The 20,111-nt window shown below is 37.0% G+C and overlaps 1 protein-coding gene across 30 annotated transcripts in view; it reads right to left on the reverse strand.

Moving 5' to 3' along the window:
- The window catches only part of PDE4D (phosphodiesterase 4D), a 1,553,091-nt gene that overhangs the window by 237,258 nt on the left and 1,295,722 nt on the right, over positions 1-20,111 (reverse strand). For 28 of the 30 annotated variants that reach the window (XM_024446112.2, XM_024446110.2, NM_001364599.1 and 25 more), the window contains one exon: positions 9,482-9,673. In XM_024446112.2, coding sequence (XP_024301880.1) covers positions 9,482-9,673 — 192 coding nt within the window. Of the gene's footprint in view, positions 1-6,887; positions 9,674-10,275; positions 14,082-20,111 lie in introns of those variants that run through there. The other 2 variants (XM_047417299.1, NM_001364601.1) reach the window with 2 other exon arrangements.

Consider the following 20,111-nt stretch of genomic DNA (forward strand, 5'->3'; position numbering starts at 1 on the left):
TGCTTGATGCTTTCTTTCTGTTTATTTATAGAAGCACATCTTTAGATGATTCATATTGCAAGGGCTTAGACAGTATGATTTAGTAATACTCCCTGGAATATCTTATCTCAAGAAACACATCACATAAATGTTCCAGCAGTGTGACTGTTTTTCCTTATATGGCTCAGAAAACAGTAAAGGAGACATTGAGAACAATTCATTAAGAAGCTAAGACTGACAAGCAAAAGTAAATATTTAAAATGATTGATGTGTAAGTGAAAACAAGTATTCATATGGGAATCTCAGTGTTGGCTGGAAACATCTCCTTTTGTATCAAGAATTTTTAAAAATTAAATAAAGACAAGAATGCATGCTCCAAACAATTTTTTTGTCTTACTTTCATGGATCTATGGTGTCTTCAAATGATACCCTGGCATGGAGTAGGTGCTACTGTTATTTTCCAAACGAGTAAAACAGTGATACTCATTCAAAAATGCACATCAATTAATACACACCTTTATTTAGAATGTGGTGGAAAACACGTATTGGTCATCTCCAATAGAAGTCAACTTTCTTCTTCTTCCCAGCCTGCCACCATATGCCCCACCGTCAAGACTTAAAGTTCAGGCTGTGCATAGTGGCTCTTGCCTGTAATTTCAGCACTTTGGGAAGCCAAAGCAGGAGTATTGCTTGAGCTCAGGAATTCGAGACCAACCTGGGCAACATAGCAAGACCTCATTTCTGCTAAAAATTAAAAAAAATTAGCCGGGTGTGGTAGCATACCCCTGTGTTTGGGCTACTAGGGAGACTGAGGTGGGAGAATCACTTGAGCCCAAGAGCTCAAGGCTGCAGTGAGCTGTGATTACACTGCTGCACTCCAGCCTGGGCAATAATAGAGTGAGACTCTGTCTCAAAAGAAAAGAAAAAAAAATTAAAGTTCAAAATATTTCTATTTTACAATACACTGGAGCATGGTTTTGATTTTAGTCTTCTTTAATATACAGAGGGAAGAGGGTTGAGATAAAGTGAGAGTACACTAGTGTACCTCTAGGTACAATATCCACAACTGGGTGAACCAATATCTCTCCTGTAATGGCCATTTGCCTCTTGGAATTTCAAGAGGCAGGAAGAATCAGTAATTTTCAACTATGGGTCCTTCATCTAGGGGCCGTGTTTCATTGAGAGCACTATCCAGGTTACTGGACTAGTTTTTTTCTTTCAAAATGTTCTTCAAACTTTCCTTATTTTAGTTTATTTCACACATAATGTGCTCTTAGAGATTGCATTCTTTTGGTATGCACTGAAAAATAGGCTAATCTTCCTTGACTGAGGCCAATTCTGAGTTTACTTTCTTCTGGCAGGAATTCAGTGTCTCATAGGATTGTGGAATAATTGCTCTTGTTATTAAACTACCACTTCTCCCTGCATTTTTTTTTAAAGAAAGTAGATATTATCCTTTGAAATGTATTAAATCTGATGTATAAGCATAATTATATAATCATTATTTATAAGTTTAAATAATTCACCTTCACACTCTTTCTCTTTTATACAGGAGTGAGAAAAACTCACATGATTTTTAGAGTTTTTTTTTTCACATTTAAAAGATTTAAAAGTGAGTTCAGTCTGTAATCCCAGCACTTTGGGAGGCCAAGGTGGGAGGATCACTTGAGGTCAGGAGTTCGAGCCCAGCCTGGTCAACATGGTGAAACCCCATCTCTACTAAAAGTAAAAAAAAAAACACAATCAGCCAGGCACGGTGGCAGGTACCTGTAATCCCAGCTACTCAGGAGGCTGAGGCAGGAGAATCGCTTGAACCTGGGAGGCGGAGGATGCAGTGAGCTGAGATTGTGCCACTGCACTCCAACCTGCGCAACAGAGTGAGACTCTATCTCAAAACAAACAAACAAAAGAAGTGAGTGCAAATACTGAGGAACATAGTGAGTATAAAGGAAATCTAGAAAATAAAATGGTATGCTAAATATTAGCACAAAGTCCTAGAGTTCGAATTGCAGCAGGCTTGTCATAGAAACAATGAATTACGTATATGTTTGGTCAGTTTTCACTTCTTTTTCCCTCTGCTTTAACAACTTTTTATAACTAACATTTATCCCTCTATCTCTCCTAAGACTTCAGTATATATCTATTACTTTGGCAGTAATAGCCAAGATATATTACTACATATAACTCAATTAATTCGTTATTTTAAAGGTTAGAGCACTGGCAATGATACTTAGAGGTGCTGGCACCATCTCACTGTAGCAGTGCATTAAAATCAATGCTTTATTTTTATACTGTGGCATTAAAAACATTACCATTTAAAATGTCTAAACATCAGGATTTCATTTTTATGATTTTTTTGAAAGTATGAGATTAGGAATATAAAATGCCTATTCAGCTAATATTTTAAATCCCCCAGTTCAAGGATTGAAGAAACTTGTTTAGCTAATTTATAAGACTTATTTTACAATTCATGAAACTCCCATTTTTTTAAATCAGAAATAAAATGACTTAAGTGATTGAATAAATGGCACCAAATAAAGCAGAATTTTTAAACAAAAAGATAGTAAAAAGGTATTCTAGTAGCAGATGACCTTAGCATATTTTGCCAATAAACTTCTTGAGATTTAATAGCTAGTATTAATGCCTGCATCAACACTCCGAATAATACTAGTAACAGTGGCCAGCACACAGCAATGGAAGAAAAAGCCTGGTCTATCTAGGTCATTACCAAAATAATATCACATTTTATAAAAAAAGATTTTGGCTACCTGGGATCCTAACAGAATTAAGAAAAAGATAAATTCTCTACTCTAGAGCACATCAGATACTTCACAGCTTGGAAACTGTTATTTTTTTAACTCCTAACAAAATTCTCTCAAATAGTCTCACATAGAGATCTGATTTATCTTTAATCATTTTTTTTTGTCTTGAGGCAGGGTCTCACTCTGTCATCCAGGCTGGAGTGCAGTGGCTCAATCGTGGCTCACTACAACCTCAACATCCTGGGTTCAAGTGATCCTCCTGCTTCAGCCTCCCAAGTAGCTGAGACTACAGGCGCCCACCACCATGCCCAGCAAATTTTTGTATTTTTTGTAGAGACAGGGTTTCACCATGTTGCCCAAGTTGGTCTCAAACTCCTCAGCTCAAGCCATCTGCCTGCCTTGGCCTCCCAAATTGCCAGGATTACAGATGTGAGCCACCATGCCTAGCCTGATTTAGCTCTAATTCTTCAGATATGAATAAACAACTAATCCAAATATTTTCAGACTTTCTCAGTACATGGTGCCCTTAATATCTCAATTTTTTAATAACAGCAACACATTGGCCAAAATAAATAATAGTTCCAATTATTAAATAGTTAAGTCCAAATAACTTAATAAGGTTTTGTTCTAACAATTTAGCACCCACTGAGCACTATGTCAATTTCTCATTTTGGAATGAGATTGGACATTGCCTCCCTTATTTTTTGTTGCACATTGATTTCTGCTCAGCACTTCATTTTTATCCAGCAACTGCTGAAAACCCAATTTTGCAAAGATATGGTGTCACAGAAAGGAATATCATGGTCTTAATTGGAAACTGGGAACTATTCCAAGCTATTAGTTTTCCAGGTGGTTGACAGATGTTTTCGTGTTTTTCTTGAACATTTAAAATAACGCTTGCACCCATGTACATTCCCTCTGTTGCCTCAGGACACATTTTGAGAACTCTGGCCCTAGTCCCATCACTCCTACACCACAGGGTGAGGGGTGAGGATACCTCCCCAGCTGGGAAAAACCCAGAACTGGGGAAGAGATGATTTGGCCATGGTAGCTTTCTTTCTGTGGTTAATGGAAGAAAGCTTTCAAGATAACAAATTGATATGCTTTTGAAATGTTCATTAGTGTAATATTATCTTGCAATCTAGGTAAGAGATGACTACAAACTTTTCATGTAGATCCAGTGAGAATTAGAACCTTTGTAATGCAACGTGTCTTTTTATTTATATTCTTCCTAGTGAGACCAGGGAAGATTAATAATCTGGAATAAAAGATACAAATTGACATAAAGGGAATTCTTCTTCCTTTTTCAAACTCAGGACTGGAAGCAATACTACTCTTATACTTAGCAGGCAAAAGTAGTAGAGAGGAGTGGCTGTGACTGAAAACACACATTAGAGGCCCAAGAAGTGGTGAGGGACTTGTTAATTGCTAAAGAAAGGACAGTAGTTTGACATGGGAGGTAGGGAGAGTATTATCTACTAGCTGAGAAAATGCCCCAATGGGGCACCCCGAAGGCCTGATCAGTGAGGTCTGAGATATCTGTATAGTGCCTGGGGATAACTTAGCTAGATTCCCAAATATGCCCCAGCTTTTTATGGTATATCAAATCTACTCACTTCCTCGTCACTGGCCCTCTGAATGCATTCACCCCACCCCATATTCTGTGTGTAGAAGCAATGTATATGAATGTGAGTGAAGAGCCGATTGGATCATCTTTGCATTCTATGTGTTGGTGTTAATTTAACAGAGGATGGGGAATAGAGGATTAGTTATCCAGGTGAATTGAGTATTTCTTAAAACTTAAGTAGTTTGACAGGTAACTTATACTTAATAAATTCATAGTTTTGTGACTTAATTCTACTTATCTTGTCATTGCTAATTCTCCTCTTAATCTTTGCAATGTATCATAACTTTATGTGTTTCCAAATACAGATACTATATTACTGGATGATGTGAAAACACAGAAGTGATTGTTATTCAGATGCTGAAATATTAAGATGACAAAAATATTGTCTATTTACGCTGTAATTTTCTTCATGTTACTTCATGACACCACTTGGGCAACCAGCCTTTTGTTATCTAGTTGTTTCTACTGTTATAAAAAATTTTTACTATTAATGGTAATGCAAGTTTATTTTCATGTATTTATTTACTAGACTCATGCTAATACTTAACATTTTTCTTTTTCTTACTTTTCTTAAGAATTAAGTTGCTACTGCATCATCTATATTTAACAAATTGTGTGACGGTCTCTGAGCAGAAGTGGTCAGGAACTTCTCTTCTGCCTTATATGAGCTAATTTTTTAGATTCTGAATTTAGCCTAGTGCTATATACTTGTATACATTCTCTAAGAGTTGGCTGCATATTTACTTTGTACCTCCTTGAGCTTTTATTTTATTCTTAATCAAATTTTGATACTGCTATGTATTTCATTGGTTTAATGAATTTGGTCAACAATTACTTCTGTTTCTCAGCAGTTTTTGCTGTAGTAGTATAAAGTACTTTGTTTACAATGGCATTATCAAATTATGTGCTCCTAGAAATAATCAAAATGCTTGCTTTTTTTTCAAAAGATTAAGCTCATTGGACTTTGGCTTTCTAACCTGTAAAATGGCATAACAATGTCCCTATCAAAAGGACTGTGAGTATATCAAATAAGATAGCTGGTGTGAAAATACTTGGGAAAGTTGATGATATACACACACCATGTATGTTATGATTATTATTACTACCATCTTTATCTGTTTTGTTCTTCAGCTATTTCATTGGTTTCTATTTATAGAGGATAAGATGACGATATCCTATCTACTAGGAAGGGATTATCTTCCTTCTTCTCACTTTCCCAATAGAGTAAATAGTTATATTTAAACTTAAAGAGTATTTAAAGGTTTTCCAAAACAGTTCAATTAAATAGATAACCACAAACCTTCATTTTAAATACCCTTCATTAGGTACCTATCCTCATTAGGTACTGTTTGTATTTGAAATTTCTAAGAAAATTTCTCAATAGGAAAGCTTAACTAGAACTATTAATAAGAAATCATCAAGTAATTAAATATATAACATCATTCTCTATAAAGCGCAGTTGAATTATACACATCAGACAGTCTTCATAGCATTATTGTGAACTAGGTAAGGTGAGAAAATTAAAGTTTACACATGGCCATATGAGAATTCAAATTAAGAGAAGGCACAGTCCTTTATGGTGGAAGATATGTGTCGTGTCAGATTAAATGTTGAAATAGTTATTATTTATTCTATTTCCTTTTCCTTCCACAGAAACTTAATCTCCTTGGTAGAAAGAATGCTTTCTAGGAGTTGGTATCAAAGGAATATCTTACTGCTCCAATGTAAATATCCAAGGAGAATGGAAAGCTAAACATATCAACACATTACTTTTCAGCAAAATATAGTGTTGACTCATGGTCTGATTAAACTCATCATTCCTACCTGAGTCTGATCAGATAAAGAACTCTTGAGGCACACAGCAAAATGAGGTATCCTTGCAAGTTTGATTTTGAAATAAAAGCATTTCATATTTAAATATGAAATGCTATAAGCTTTTCATAAAATATATGTATATATTTAATATTTACTAACTGGAGTAGAATGTATGAAAGAAACAATCTATCCCAAACTCAGTTTACTACAATTTAAAAAGGTAGAACACATAACTACATAAATGGACTCCACTAACTCACTGTGAGTTTTCCTCTTTCTTTTGTCAATACCAAGCCTGACTCACCTTTGATGAAGTTGCATTAGATGACTTTCAATTCTGTCATTCGCCTATTTAACATTGTTTATTGTTATCTATGGGGCTGGTCAGTATTCTACTCACCTTTACCCTGTTCCCTTTTTTGATCTGCATAGTGGCTTTTTTAAGCCTTTCCCTTTCTTCTCAAGCTGCCCCATCCCTCTCTCCTCTGGCTATTGATGGCTGTACCTTCTACTTTTACATTCATTCATCTGGAGATGGAGGAGTAAAATGTTTAGAGAACTCATGGCTAATATCTCTTAACATTTTACTCCTCCATCTCTAAATTTACATTTCCCTTCTTTTACTCTTCTTCTCCTTCTCCTTCTTCTCTTCTCTCTTATTCTTCTCCTTCTCCTCCTTCTTCTTTTTTTCTTTTTTTCCAGACACAGTCTTGTCTTCCTCTGTCACCCAGGCTGGACTGCAGTGGCATGATCGTAGCTCACTGCAACCCTGAACTCCCAGGCTCAACCAATCCTCCTACCTCTCCAGAGTAGCTGGGACTAAAGGCATGTGCCACCATGCCCAGCTATTTTTTTGGATTTTTAGTAAGGACAAGGTCTCACTATGTTGCCAAGGCAGGTCTTCTTTGTCCTTCCTAAAGAATACAGTTCTGGTATTTACTACTTTTCCAAGGATAGCCTCCTTACTTTGGCTCATGATCATGTTTTTGTCAGCAACTACAGCTCCATCTTTAAACCCTCTTTCCCCTTGAATTTTTAGTCTCTTTCTATCTCCTGGAGCCTTCCCTCAGCTCAAGTAACCTGAATTCAAAAAAATTCCGCTTGAACCTAATTCTCTGTCAGGCAGCCTTAGTTCTTTCTTCCTACTCCACCCATCAGCCTTTTAAAGAGATGCCTGCATTTGCTCACATTTCCACTTTCAATTCACTCCTTAACCCAGGGGCTCCTAATGCTATTACCTGAATACAACGCACCACTCAACTGTCATTCAAAAACCTAGTAATTATAGAAGGTAACTGTTCTATTTCTCCTGGTCCTCTGGACTGTTATTTCTGTTTGCTGTCCCAGTACTTTAACTGTTGTCTTGTTTCCCCTAGCCTTATCATGTACAAACCAATTCATCACCTGTTATCTGTCATGTTTTCTACTCTCTGCCCTTTGTTCCTCATCACCATGTACGTACATCACCATGTACGTACTCATTCATGGACAAAAATCAGCACTCTCTTTGATTCTCCTTCTCCACTGGCTGTCCCCCAACATACATACATACTTCACACACACACACACACACACACACACACACACACACACACACACAACCATTCTATAAGCCTCTTGCATCTAAACCAGCTCTTTGCTCCACTGCCATCACTCCCTTGACTTAGGTCTTCATCATATTTAGCCTGCCTTACTTCTGTGAATTTCGACATGAAATACTTCCCTGTAGTGACTTCGCTATGCAATCATTCAACAATAGAGTAATCAAGATGCAATAAAAACAAGAATATGATCATGCCAAAACTCAGCTAAAAACCTCTGTGGCTCTCAGGTCCCATAGACTGTATTTGAAATTTTCTTCTCTCTTGCCAGGTTTCGCTATTCACATCAAGCAGATTGTCATTCCTTAGTTCAGCCATAATTTTCCATGCCTCACATTTAGTAAATGTTGTTCCCTTAGCCCGGTATTTTCTGTATCTTTCCCTTGGGTGGAAAACTCTCCATCTCCTCTCTCTGTTCCTGCAGTACATGATAAATGCCTCAAGGATTGTGCTCACCATATTTTATTACAATGGTCTAAAATGCCAGACCTCACTGCTCCACAGATTCAGAGCTTTAAATACACCATATTTGCTCAAGAAGCATTCTCATTATGTGTGAATGAATAAGTAAGTGTCATGAATTTCAAATCTAAGGAAGTGAGATAAAAATAATGTAAAAATAGGGCCACTAGGAATAGAAAGTTGTTTAGAGATGAAGAAGGGTAGACGTCAATAATACAACTGCTAAAATAGCAACCATAGTTTGTAAAAATGAGTGAAATATAATTTCATTTCTAGAACCCCATGTAGACCTATTGCAATACAACTGATGCTCTGTTAGAATGGCAAGAATAACACTAGACACTCAGGGGTTCCATACAGACTAATTCTTATAAGATAAATTGCAGCCTGTTATGAGTTTTTGAGATGGGTGTCATGAAAAGATGGTGAATGTTATTGGACAAATGTATAGACCAAGAGAGAAAGATGAAGATCGATTCTATACAGAGGCAGATGTGCCACGAATGATAGTATAGGTATTGAGTGAGAATAAAGACCTATGTAGAAAAACATGCACACTACCACAAGAATGAAATGCACTGAGAAAATGAGCTAGTGATGGTACAGGATCTGCAAACCTGCTTGTCAGTTTTCATTGTTTTTCAAGCTGTACTATATCTTAAATGATATTCAAGTCTGTCTAATGTTTTCTGTGCTTGCCTCTCATGATCCTTAAAAGTTGGTTTAATTTTGGCAAAGTCCCACAAAGATTTCTTAAATGATCTGGCAAACCAGTGCTAACATCTGTACATACATTAATTGAAATATATTCAAAATGCTATACAGTCTATTATCACAGGACTTTTCAATGGAGTTGAAAGCTTTTCAAAATATTAGAAAATATCCATGTAGTTAGGTAGCTAAAACTCAGGCTCTACATAAATATAAGCTAATGATTTAAGTGTTAGTTTCCATTAAAAATTTAATTCTCAGTTTTCCTATAAAGTATTTTCTGGGAAAATAAATACATGCGTGTGTGTGTGTGTGTGTGTGTGTGTGTGTGTGTGTTAATCAAGAGTGACAGTGCACTCAGGTTAAATCTACCATTCATTTCTAGCTTGTATAATTTTATTCATATTCTTTCTACATTGGAGGAGAGTGATACAGTTGAACAAAAGTCATTAGTTTTATTATGTCATCAGCTCTAGATATAAATTTACTCGGTTTTCTCTCTCTTTGCCTGCCCTTGTACTTACATATCACTGGCAATGGAGGAGTTCCGGGACATAGACTTTGGAGAGAGGTCATAATCGCTGTCGGATCGATACAGGAAGGACTCCCGTCGTTGACTGTGGACAAAATTTGCTTGGAGAATTAGCCCGGATCCTGGGCTGGTCATGGGATCCAAGGGACTCCGTCCCGCAGATGTGCCATTGTCCACATCAAAACTGTAAAGGAAGGAGAAGGAATTATGTTGCTGTGAACATTCACATGTTCATATTTTCAAAAAGCATTTAGCGTCAGCTGAGGAACTGACAGTGGAATTAGCAGGAATGAAAATTACAGCTAATTTCTGCCATAAAAATATGATAATATTGAAATACATAAAAGAAAAACACATTGACTTCACATTCTTGTTCTCCTGGATACTGTTGTTAACTGACCAGATACAAGATACAGGTTTTTCCAAACTCTACTTCAGTTAAAAGGGAAACACTCTGCAAAACATAATCTTCTAAGTACAAAATTCCTTTCGGAAAATAACAAATACACAGTAATTCATCAAATATTTGAATTCGATTCAACAAATACCCATTTTGTGCCTAATGCTGTTCTCCCAAACCTGGGCTTCTCCCTCCACACTCCTACCCTATAACATCCATCCAAGCATTAATTTCTATTGTACCCACTTCCTTCCATCCCTACTACCAATATTTTAAATTCAGGTCTCCATCAAATTTCACCTATATTATTATAACAACCTTTATATTAGTGTCTTGAATCCATTTTCCAGTGTCATTCTTCAGTTTAAAACCCTTCAGTAACTTACCATTGCTCTCAGGATGAAGTCAAAATTTCTTTGCCAGACTGCCAGTCTAACCATCTGCTCTCAATTGCAATTAGTTGCCCCCAGCCTCAACTTGCCATCCTCAGCTATTGGGTACTTCTTGCTCAACTCATATTGAGGCACTATCTCCTTCTCACAGGCCATCACCACCTCACCTCCTGCTCCCCTAAATAATCAAATCCCCTTTCCCCTGCCTAACTGTCACTCATCCTTGAGACTTAGCCTGCACCTGAAAGGCTACCCTGGTACATCAGAGCTTTATGAAAGGCCCTTTCTCTACGCTCCCAAGACACTTTCCCACTCCCTAATGACAGAATTTACAATGAATTGAAAATGTTTTTCACCCGGTCTCCATTCCTAGATTGTGAGCTCTCTACAAATGGAGACTCAGCGTATTCTTGGCACATTGAAAACTGTGCCCAAGTGTCTTGAGTAAATGATTAAATGAATAAAAGGCACTGTGCTCAGCAATACATATTTTAGAGCTGGGAAAAAATCTACACACACAGTTCTTAACGTCATAGTCCTTATAATCTAGATAAACTTTCCACAAAGAACCTTTCTAGTGAAACATCAACCAGTATTAAAATAAAGTCAACTTTCATGTGTTCTTAGGAGAGGAGGGTGATAGCTTATGATAGCCCAGCAGGTGTGTGGTTTTAAAGAAAAACTTGTTGAAAGAATAAATAAACATGTGAATTCAAGTTTTGCTGTCATTAATATTTTCCCCATTAGAATCTTTATTCAAACTATTAACTAGCTCATTTTAAAACATTCCTTTATTTTCTTTATCGGAGTCATTAATAAATAGAGTTATGACTCTAAGATTGGAAGATGTTTCATGGATCACTTTTGAATCTGTGATCAAATAACAGTGGCTCCGAAATAATCCATCAAATAAACAGAAGAGGGAAAACTCATTATCTTGAGCAGCTGTAAATATGTTTTTCCAACTTAAAATTTTCTTAGAATTGTGTCTCTTTATAGATATATTTATTTGGTTCAGGAAGGACAATGAGAGATTGTCAAGTCGAACAGACTCACTTTACAGACGAGGATACCAGGTCCTAGAAAAGTTAATTGACCAGTCACTGAGCTAACTGCATTGAATCATCGATTGTTCCTAAAGTCCTTCCAGCTCTACTGCATGATTATATAAACCACAAATATATGTGGCACCCAAACAGGGGACATCTGTTTCACCAGAATAGGATAGGCACATATGTATGTGAAACCTTGTCAATTCCCAGGAAGGCTGGAAGGGGAGGATGGTCTCTAATCATTCAATAGACATACATTAGGGATCTTTGGCAAACTCTCCTTGGATATGCTTAAATAGGCATTTATTAAGCACTTAATATGAGTGCATTAAGATACAAAAATAAAGGATGAATGACTAACTCAGGCTGGGATATCTGAGAAGTTTTCATGAAGAGTAGTATTTAAGAAGGTTTTTGAAGGTATTTAGTACACAACTGGAAGACATTAAAAACTTCTAAATAGTGGGGGTTTGGCAAAGTAGATTTCTCTTCTAAGAAGATAGTCATGGCAGCTTTTCAGCATGAGGAGGACCTAGTAATGTGAATGCCTGTAGAAATGTTTATGTTTATTTCCCTTTAATATCAAGATATTCTTATTGCTACACTTTAAAAAAGAAAATACCCCCTCCTTCCTGTGCATGAACAGAAATGTAAGAGATACAGAAGTGTGAGTTTTGGTTTAGTTTTTTTCAGTTCAACTGAGTAAACACCAAATTTGTATAAATCAGTAATTTTTTCTTTAATTATAATTTTTCCAATTAAATCAAGCAAGTCTTAACACTCCACTATAAGTTTTGAAACAAATATTGCTAAATACCTTAAGTCATTTAGATAGTTATGATATTTTTAAATCTTACAACTTTTAAGCCATAATATTAGCACTAAAACCAAAACATTTATTAATAGGTCAGGAAGTGCTTGATATGAGATATTCTAGGGGCTTTAATATTTTTCTTTGTATACTGTAATATAAAAATTTGTCCACTAGATGGAGATCATTTTCTTAAACAAGGAAACTATTTTCTACTGAAGGGTTAAATAACCTTAAAGGCCTAAATTATTTCTTAGGAACTCATGAAAATAACCCTTTAAATGACATCCAAAAAACAAAGTTCACAATGTATACTAAGTAATTATCAATATTGATAAAATTACATTAATCTAATATTAGTATTAGCTTTACAAACATTGAGAATGAAGATCTAAAAATAGTGACTGATATTTTATTGGACTTTTTCTTAAATGATGAGTTCATGTCCTTTGTAGGGACATGGATGAAATTGGAAATCATCATTCTCAGTAAACTATCGCAAGAACAAAAAACCAAACACCGCATATTCTCACTCATAGGTGGGAATTGAACAATGAGATCACATGGACACAGGAAGGGGAATATCACACTCTGGGGACTGTTGTGGGGTGGGGGGAGGGGGGAGGGATAGCACTGGGAGATATACCTAATGCTAGATGACGAGTTAGTGGGTGCAGTGCACCAGCATGGCACATGTATACATATGTATCTAACCTGCACAATGTGCACATGTACCCTAAAACTTAAAGTATAATTAAAAAAAAAAAAGAAAAGAAAAAAAATACTTGAGAAGACTTAATTGAATTTCCGTAACAAATCACTGAGTACTTATTGTGTTGGAGTAAAGTAACTTGAGCATCATTAATAGTCTGGGGTTTCACTCTAAATTTTGGCACCACAAGTATTCTCAGAATACGGTTTGTTCTGGGAAGTGAACCTAGGGTCTGAGTTCATTTGCATAATTTATTTCCATGATATTAAATCCTCTTATAATCAAAATTAATTATCAAGAAAAAGTAATATTACCGAGAATCTCCAGTCTGAAGTATCAGCCAATGTCAGTATTAGTGAATGACTTTATACAAAGAGAGACTTTGTATTTTGAAATAGTCATTGAATAAACTTTTACATTACATCCTATGTCCTTAGATCAGCACTTGAATAAGTACAGATATACTACACATTGTCCTTTTCTAGAAAGCACTAAAGTCTAGTTAAGGTAATAGAACATCAAGCAACCAGAGAAAATAAAAGCAGCAAAACAGGTGGCATCTGTATTAAATAGCATATAAATACTAAAACACGAAATTGTATTATATAGGCAATCAGACTATGTGATGTAGACAATGAATGTAAAGGGAATTTAAGAAGTTGCAGGATGTACACCTTTGAAGGAGAGTTAAAAAATGTCCAGCCAGAGTAGAGCTGGGGTTGGGGGTGGAGGCCATCCAGCAAAAGTGAAGCCACAAAAACAAAACCAAGAAGGAATGAATAAGGCGTGTATATAAAACAGGACATTTAGTGTCTGGCTAAATTTGAGGCTTGGTATTAAAGAATAGTGGGGACCTATAAAAATGGCAATTTTGTACAGTTCAACCTAATAGGTAGGGATGGATGTGTTTATGGAAAGCTGGGCCAAGGAGTGTCAGCAGAAGCTTGTTATAAAGACTTACGTGGAAACACACAAATCAACTTTTAACATTGAAATCTCAGGGGAGTAAGATGAGGAAGACCAGTATTTGTTAAAATAAACATGTTGCTTTTGCAACAAATAAAAGGTAGAAAACAGAGTAGAGGCTGAGCACAGTAGCTCATGCCTGTAATCCCGACACTTTAGAGGCACACGTGGGAGGATCGCTTCAGACCAGGAGTTCAAGGTTACAGTGACTGATCGTGTCACTGCACTCCAATCTAGGCGACAGAGCATGACTCTGTCTCAAAAAAAAAAAAAAAAAAAAAAAAAGAAAGACAAAAAACAGAGTTAAAAAAAAAAAGGAGAAAAATAAATGTTTTAACTACAAGAGGACCCCCAAAAAGGCTTGTTCATTAAATACTTCAAATATTAGAACTAGGGGGTTTGCCTTGAGTAGGGAGGTTAGTTGTGGATTTTAAAAGGCAGCACATTTTTACTCAGTAGGTAGTAAGTTAACTGAGAATTAGACACTTACTTAACTTTCTGAAAGTTAGCCTAATTAGTCAGTTTGGGCTGAAATTATAGATGGCTTCAAATAAGCTAGTTATCTTTGAAACATAATTTTATCAATAGTCCACATCGTGGTGTTATGAATAAAACAAGAAGGTGATGAAGGATAAGGTAGCCCTAACCTTAGATGCTGGTATCAAAATGATCAGTTGTGAATTTTCCAAAGACATTCTTTAGAAAACACTTGGATGTGGTGAATTCTCTTTTGACTCACAGCCAATTAGATGGAGCCCAAGCAAAAAACTAGAAGTTTGAAAAAGTAACTAAAGGATTGGGGAGAGTAAAAATTACCAAGTTTAATGATGATGGTGGCAATAATAATAATGTTAATAACAATAAAACTTCTGGAGCACTTTCCATGTTCCAGGCGCTGTGCTTTGCATATATTATCTCATTTAATCCTCACAATAACACTTTGAAGTAGGCACTGTATTTTCCATTCGACCATGGGGACTCTGAGGCATAGACAAGTGACTCTATGTTCAGTAGTATGCTCAAGCTCATAAGTGGGTTTTAAACTCAAGCTGTCTGATTCTAAGGCTGGGGAGAATGGACTCTGTTTACACCTCTATTATGAAGTTTCATTTAAAAAAATACAAGAATACCTTTTAGCTTCCTCACCTGCAGGGAACTTTTGAAAGTAACATTCTGATTAACTTACAGGTGACGCATGCAAAGGCTAATTCTGAGACTAAATTTTCGTATGGGGCTGGGTGTGGTGGCTCATGCCTATAATCCCAGCACTTTAGGAAGCCAAGGCTGGTGAACTGCTTGAGCCCAGGAGTTCAGGGCCAGCCTGGGCAACATGGTGAAACACCATCTTTACAAAAAATTTTAAAATTACCTGGGTGTGGTGGTGCTTATCTGTAGTCCCAGCTACCCCAGAGGTGGAGGCAGGAGGATCACCTGAACTAAGGAGGTCGAGGCTGAAGTGAGCCATGATTACGTCACTGCACTCCAGCTTGGGCGACAGAGCGAGACTCTGTCTCAAAAAAAAAAGTTTTCATATGACCCAACATTTTGGAATTTGCCAAATCCCCAGCTTTTTCCAATTCTGAACATAACAGTAGGGTGTAAAAAAGTCTTTGCTGTAACCCATTTGGCGGGTTTCTTTATAGCATTTGAGATTTCATTTGGAATTAAGGAAGGGTCAGTGGGTCTGCAAAAGGGCTTAGCAAATGGAACTAAGTGAGGTGCTTTCTTGTTCCATATGTTTGCTTCCCTTAATGCAATTTAAGAATGCACACAATTCTTAAAAGAGATAACTTTTGCCAGAAGGCAGTTTTGGAGGAGGAATGATATAGCTATATTTGGTCTCCCATGAGGGGGCAGTAACAGTAATGACCAGCTGGCCTGCTGCATTCAGAAGTGTTAAAGAATGTGTGTGGCTAGCACTACTCATGACCATTTACTCCACAGACCCATCCTTTTCTATGGAACCAGCCCCCTACAAGAAACAAAGAGAAGTCGGACAAACTGACGAATGAACTAATTACTCCCAGTTCTCCACACTGTTCCATTTCAGTGGAATTACTGGATGGTAATACAGTTCCAATCTACCTTTCATCCACGCTCTCAACTGCTCGCATACTTTGTGTCTACTGACCTTGTAATTGTTTGTCTGCTGAAGGTCATTTCTCATCTTTTTGGCCTTTTGCTAGACACTGCTTCCCTAGTTTAAACTTTTCCCAATTTATTTTTGACCATGATATGGGCCCTCTCCTGAGCCAGAGTCCTGCTACTGTGCTGAGTAAATAGCTTTCCTCATCTATCCTAGCCATCAGGACCTTATACTTAGCACTGACCCCCAGTATGAAGCCCAAAGTGGGTGGGGCAATGAGGGCCTCAGTGGAGCAGCTGCTAAGGAACCTCTATCAATAGCAGCCTCCATTACCGAAGCATCTATGAAGGCCACTCACAGGGAAGATCTTGCTGAATGTCGCTGGGAATCCTGGGAGCCATCACTGAAGCCAGGACCATCTGAAAGCTGCCTTTTTCACTACATAGTAAGAACAATGGCACATAGAAAATATTGACCTACCAAAAATGTTCCTGTTAAGATGTTTATTTAAGAGTTAGAAAACACAGGTTAAATTTGAAATCTTGGTTCAGCCACTTCCTATTTGGGTGCTCTAGGGCAAGTTGCTGTATTTTCTAGGCTTTCACTGCTGATAAAGATAATTACAATACCTAGCTCTAGGGCCATTATAAGGATTAGAAGAGAAAATGTTTGGAAAGCATTCACCACATTGCCTGGCAGCTAGTACACTCCCATTATTTAGCAGCTATTGTTTTTCATTTTTATTACTCTTTTTCTCCCAGGGAGATCTTCATCTAGGTCATTCTCTTTAACTTTATTTGAACACATGGCTTTGGGAAGAACCTAAAGGGAGAGATGAAAGAGGAAGAGAACTGAGGGCCAAATCACCTGAATCAGCCCTTGCAATCAATGAGGTGACAGATGCTGGAGCCAGATTGCTCTAAAAGTTTCAGCTGCTTTTATGTCTCCACCCAACTCCATAATTCCAGTGTGATAACATCTGGGGAGGGTGGAGACTGCTGATTTTTTTCTAGATATTACTCACTGAGGAGAAAGAATAATTTCCTACCAGGAAGTGTGGAAGGCTTGGAGGTCCCAACAACCTAGGTGGGGCTCCAGCTGAATATAATGAGCAGAAACAGTCCTTCAGACCTCAGGTCTCCAGACACAGGGTGTAGCTTGGGGACCTCAGGTCACAATTATACTGATGTTTATATTCCTGTACTCCACTCTCCCCTGTGTATTGTAGCTCATGCTGTTAGCCAACACATTGGAACTCATTTTGATGCTTTGCCCTCAAGGGGAGGGGAGGCTTACCCTTGAGCTTAAGGGGAGAGTAACTGTAACTGGATGACTACATACATTTTTCCCTCTTTATAATACTAAATATTTTACCCATTGTTATCAATATCACAAGGTTATGAAGCTCGTTTCTAATCAATGCCACTGATACTTCTCTATTGAAAATTTCCCTGCAGGTCAAATAGCTTCTCTGAAGTAAACAAAATAATGATTTGCAAAATTCACCATTTTAATATTTACTTTTCTCTGATTATCTATGGAGATGAGACTGTAGAAACTAGCATTTTACAGTGATATGCACAGATGGCAATCTTTCCCAATCAATCATAAAACTGCATATTAAATTTAAGTAGGATACCCGGAGAAGGCATGATATTTAGCTACTTTACAAGATTACACAGCTAAATTATACTACACATGTTAGCTTGTATAATATATATATTTGCACAGAGTTAAGATATTTAACAGACACGTTTTACCCTTTGTTTTCACAGATGATTTTTATAAACAAAAGCCCAGGGCTGGGCATGGTGGCTCACACTTGTAATCCCAGAACTTTGGGAGGCTAAGGGGAGTGGATTGCTTGAGCTCAGGAGTTCAAGACCAGCCTGGGCAACATGATGAAACCCTGTTTCTACAAAAAAAAAAAAAAAAAAAAAAAAAAGTCAGGCACGATGATGGCACAAGCCTGTGGTGCTGAGGCAGGAGAATCACTTGAGCCCAGGAGGCTGAGGCTTCAGTGAGTCTAAATCATGCCACTGCGCTCCAGTCTGGGTAACACAGTGAGATCCTGTCATACACACACACATACACACACACACACACACACACACACACACACACACTGGTACAAAGATGAAGGGTATATGCTTACTTATGAGTAAAACATTAGGTGGTACTGGAAATATACAACATATGTTTCTGGCTTGTCAGTGACACTCCCAAGTAACACAGGGCAATAAAGAGATTCAAGATGGAAATGATAGCATGAGTTTGATGTCTGGACTATAAATGAAAGAGGATAAGCTGGACTTGCTTAGCACACTTTTGACACAATGATATGATAAAAGGCCAATTTTTCTGAAAAGTATTTATTAGGCCAGTGTTATGGACTGAATCTTGTTTCCCCTATAATTCATATGTTGAAGCCTTAATCACCAATGGTTACATGAGGTTGAGGTTGAGGTTAAATCTATCTTGTTTCCCCTAGAATTCATATGTTAAACGAGGCCATATGGATGAGGCCCTAATCCAATAGTGCTGGTGTTCTTATAAGAACAGAGAGAGACACAAGAGCATTCTCTCTTCACCATGTGAGGACAGAGTGAGAAAGCAGCCATCTGTATGTAGGAAGAGAGCCCTCAACAGGAACCAAATCAGCCAATCTTGGTCTTGGACTTCTCAGCATCCAGAATTGTGAGAACATTTCTGTTTAGGCCACCAGTCTAGGGTACTTTGTTATGCGGCCTGAGTTGACTAAGGCAACCAGAAAGCCCCAACCAAAAATTGTTTTACTTGAAGTTTATACATTACTTTTTAATGACTGTTAAGAAAAATTTTCTTAACTGAAACTCTCTCTAAGAAAGCATCTCAAATTATTGCCAAGACCAATGCCATGAAATTTTCCCCCTAAATTTTCTTCTAGGTTTACAGCTTCAGGTGTTATAATTAAGTCTTGAGTGGATTTTTTGTGTATGATTTAAGATAAAGGTTTAGTTTCATTCTTTTGCATGTGAATATCTAGTTTCCCCAATACCATTTTCCAATACCATTCAAGACTTTTCTTCATTGTATATTCTGGACATCCTTGTCAAAGATCAGTTGACTGTGTATGTGTGAGTTTATTTCTTGGCTCTATTCTGTTCTATTGGTTTTATGTCTGTCTTTATGCCAGTACCACATTGTTTTGATTACTGTCACTTAGTAATATGTTTTGAAATCAGGAAGTGTGAGATCTCCAGATATTTTGTTCTTTTTCAAGATTGTTTTGACTATTCAGCCTTTTGTGGTTTCTTATGAAGACTGCTTTTCTATTTCTATAAAAAATACCATTGGGATTTTGATGGAGATTACATTGGACATTGTGGACATTTTAACAATATTAAGTTTCCTAATCCACAGCAGCATCAAAGCATAAGCAAAAAAAGCAAAAATAGGCAAGTGGGACTACATCAAAATAAAATGTTTCTGCACAGCAAGGGAGAAAACACAGTGAAAATACAACCTACAGATTAGGAGAAAACATTTGCAAACCATATATCTGATATGGTATTAATATCTACAATACATAGGAGCTCCTACAACTCAATAGCAAAACCCCCCCAAAACCCAATTGAAACCCCTCAAAATTAAAAAAACCCAATGAAAGAAATGGACGTTTCTCCAAAGAAGACAAAAAATGGCAAACAGGGATATGAAAAGATGCTCAACCTCACTAATCATTAAGGAAATGCAAAGGAAAACCACAATGAGATATTGCTTCACTCCTGTTAGGATGGCCATTATTAAAAAAAAAAACCTGTTGGCAAGGACATACAGAAATTGGAATCCTTATGTACTGATGGTGGGACTGTAAAGTGATGCCACTACTATAAAAAACAGTATGGAAGTTCCTCAAAAAATTAAAAACAGAACTACCATATGATCTACCAATTCAACTTCTGGGTATTTATCCAAAAAATTGAGATCAGCATGTCAAAGAGATATTTATATTCCCATATTCATTTATGTATATTCACAATACCAAGATGTGGAAACAATCTAAATATCCATCAATGAACGAATGGATTAAAAAATGTGGTATATACATACAATGGAATATTATTTAGCCTTAAAAGAAGGATATCCTGTCATATGCTACAACATGGATGAATTTTGAGGACATTATGCCAAGTGAAATAAGTCAGTCACAGAAAGATAAAT

The sequence above is a fragment of the Homo sapiens genome, chromosome 5 (assembly GCF_000001405.40).
Source record: "Homo sapiens chromosome 5, GRCh38.p14 Primary Assembly".
NCBI classification, from domain to species: domain Eukaryota; kingdom Metazoa; phylum Chordata; class Mammalia; order Primates; family Hominidae; genus Homo; species Homo sapiens.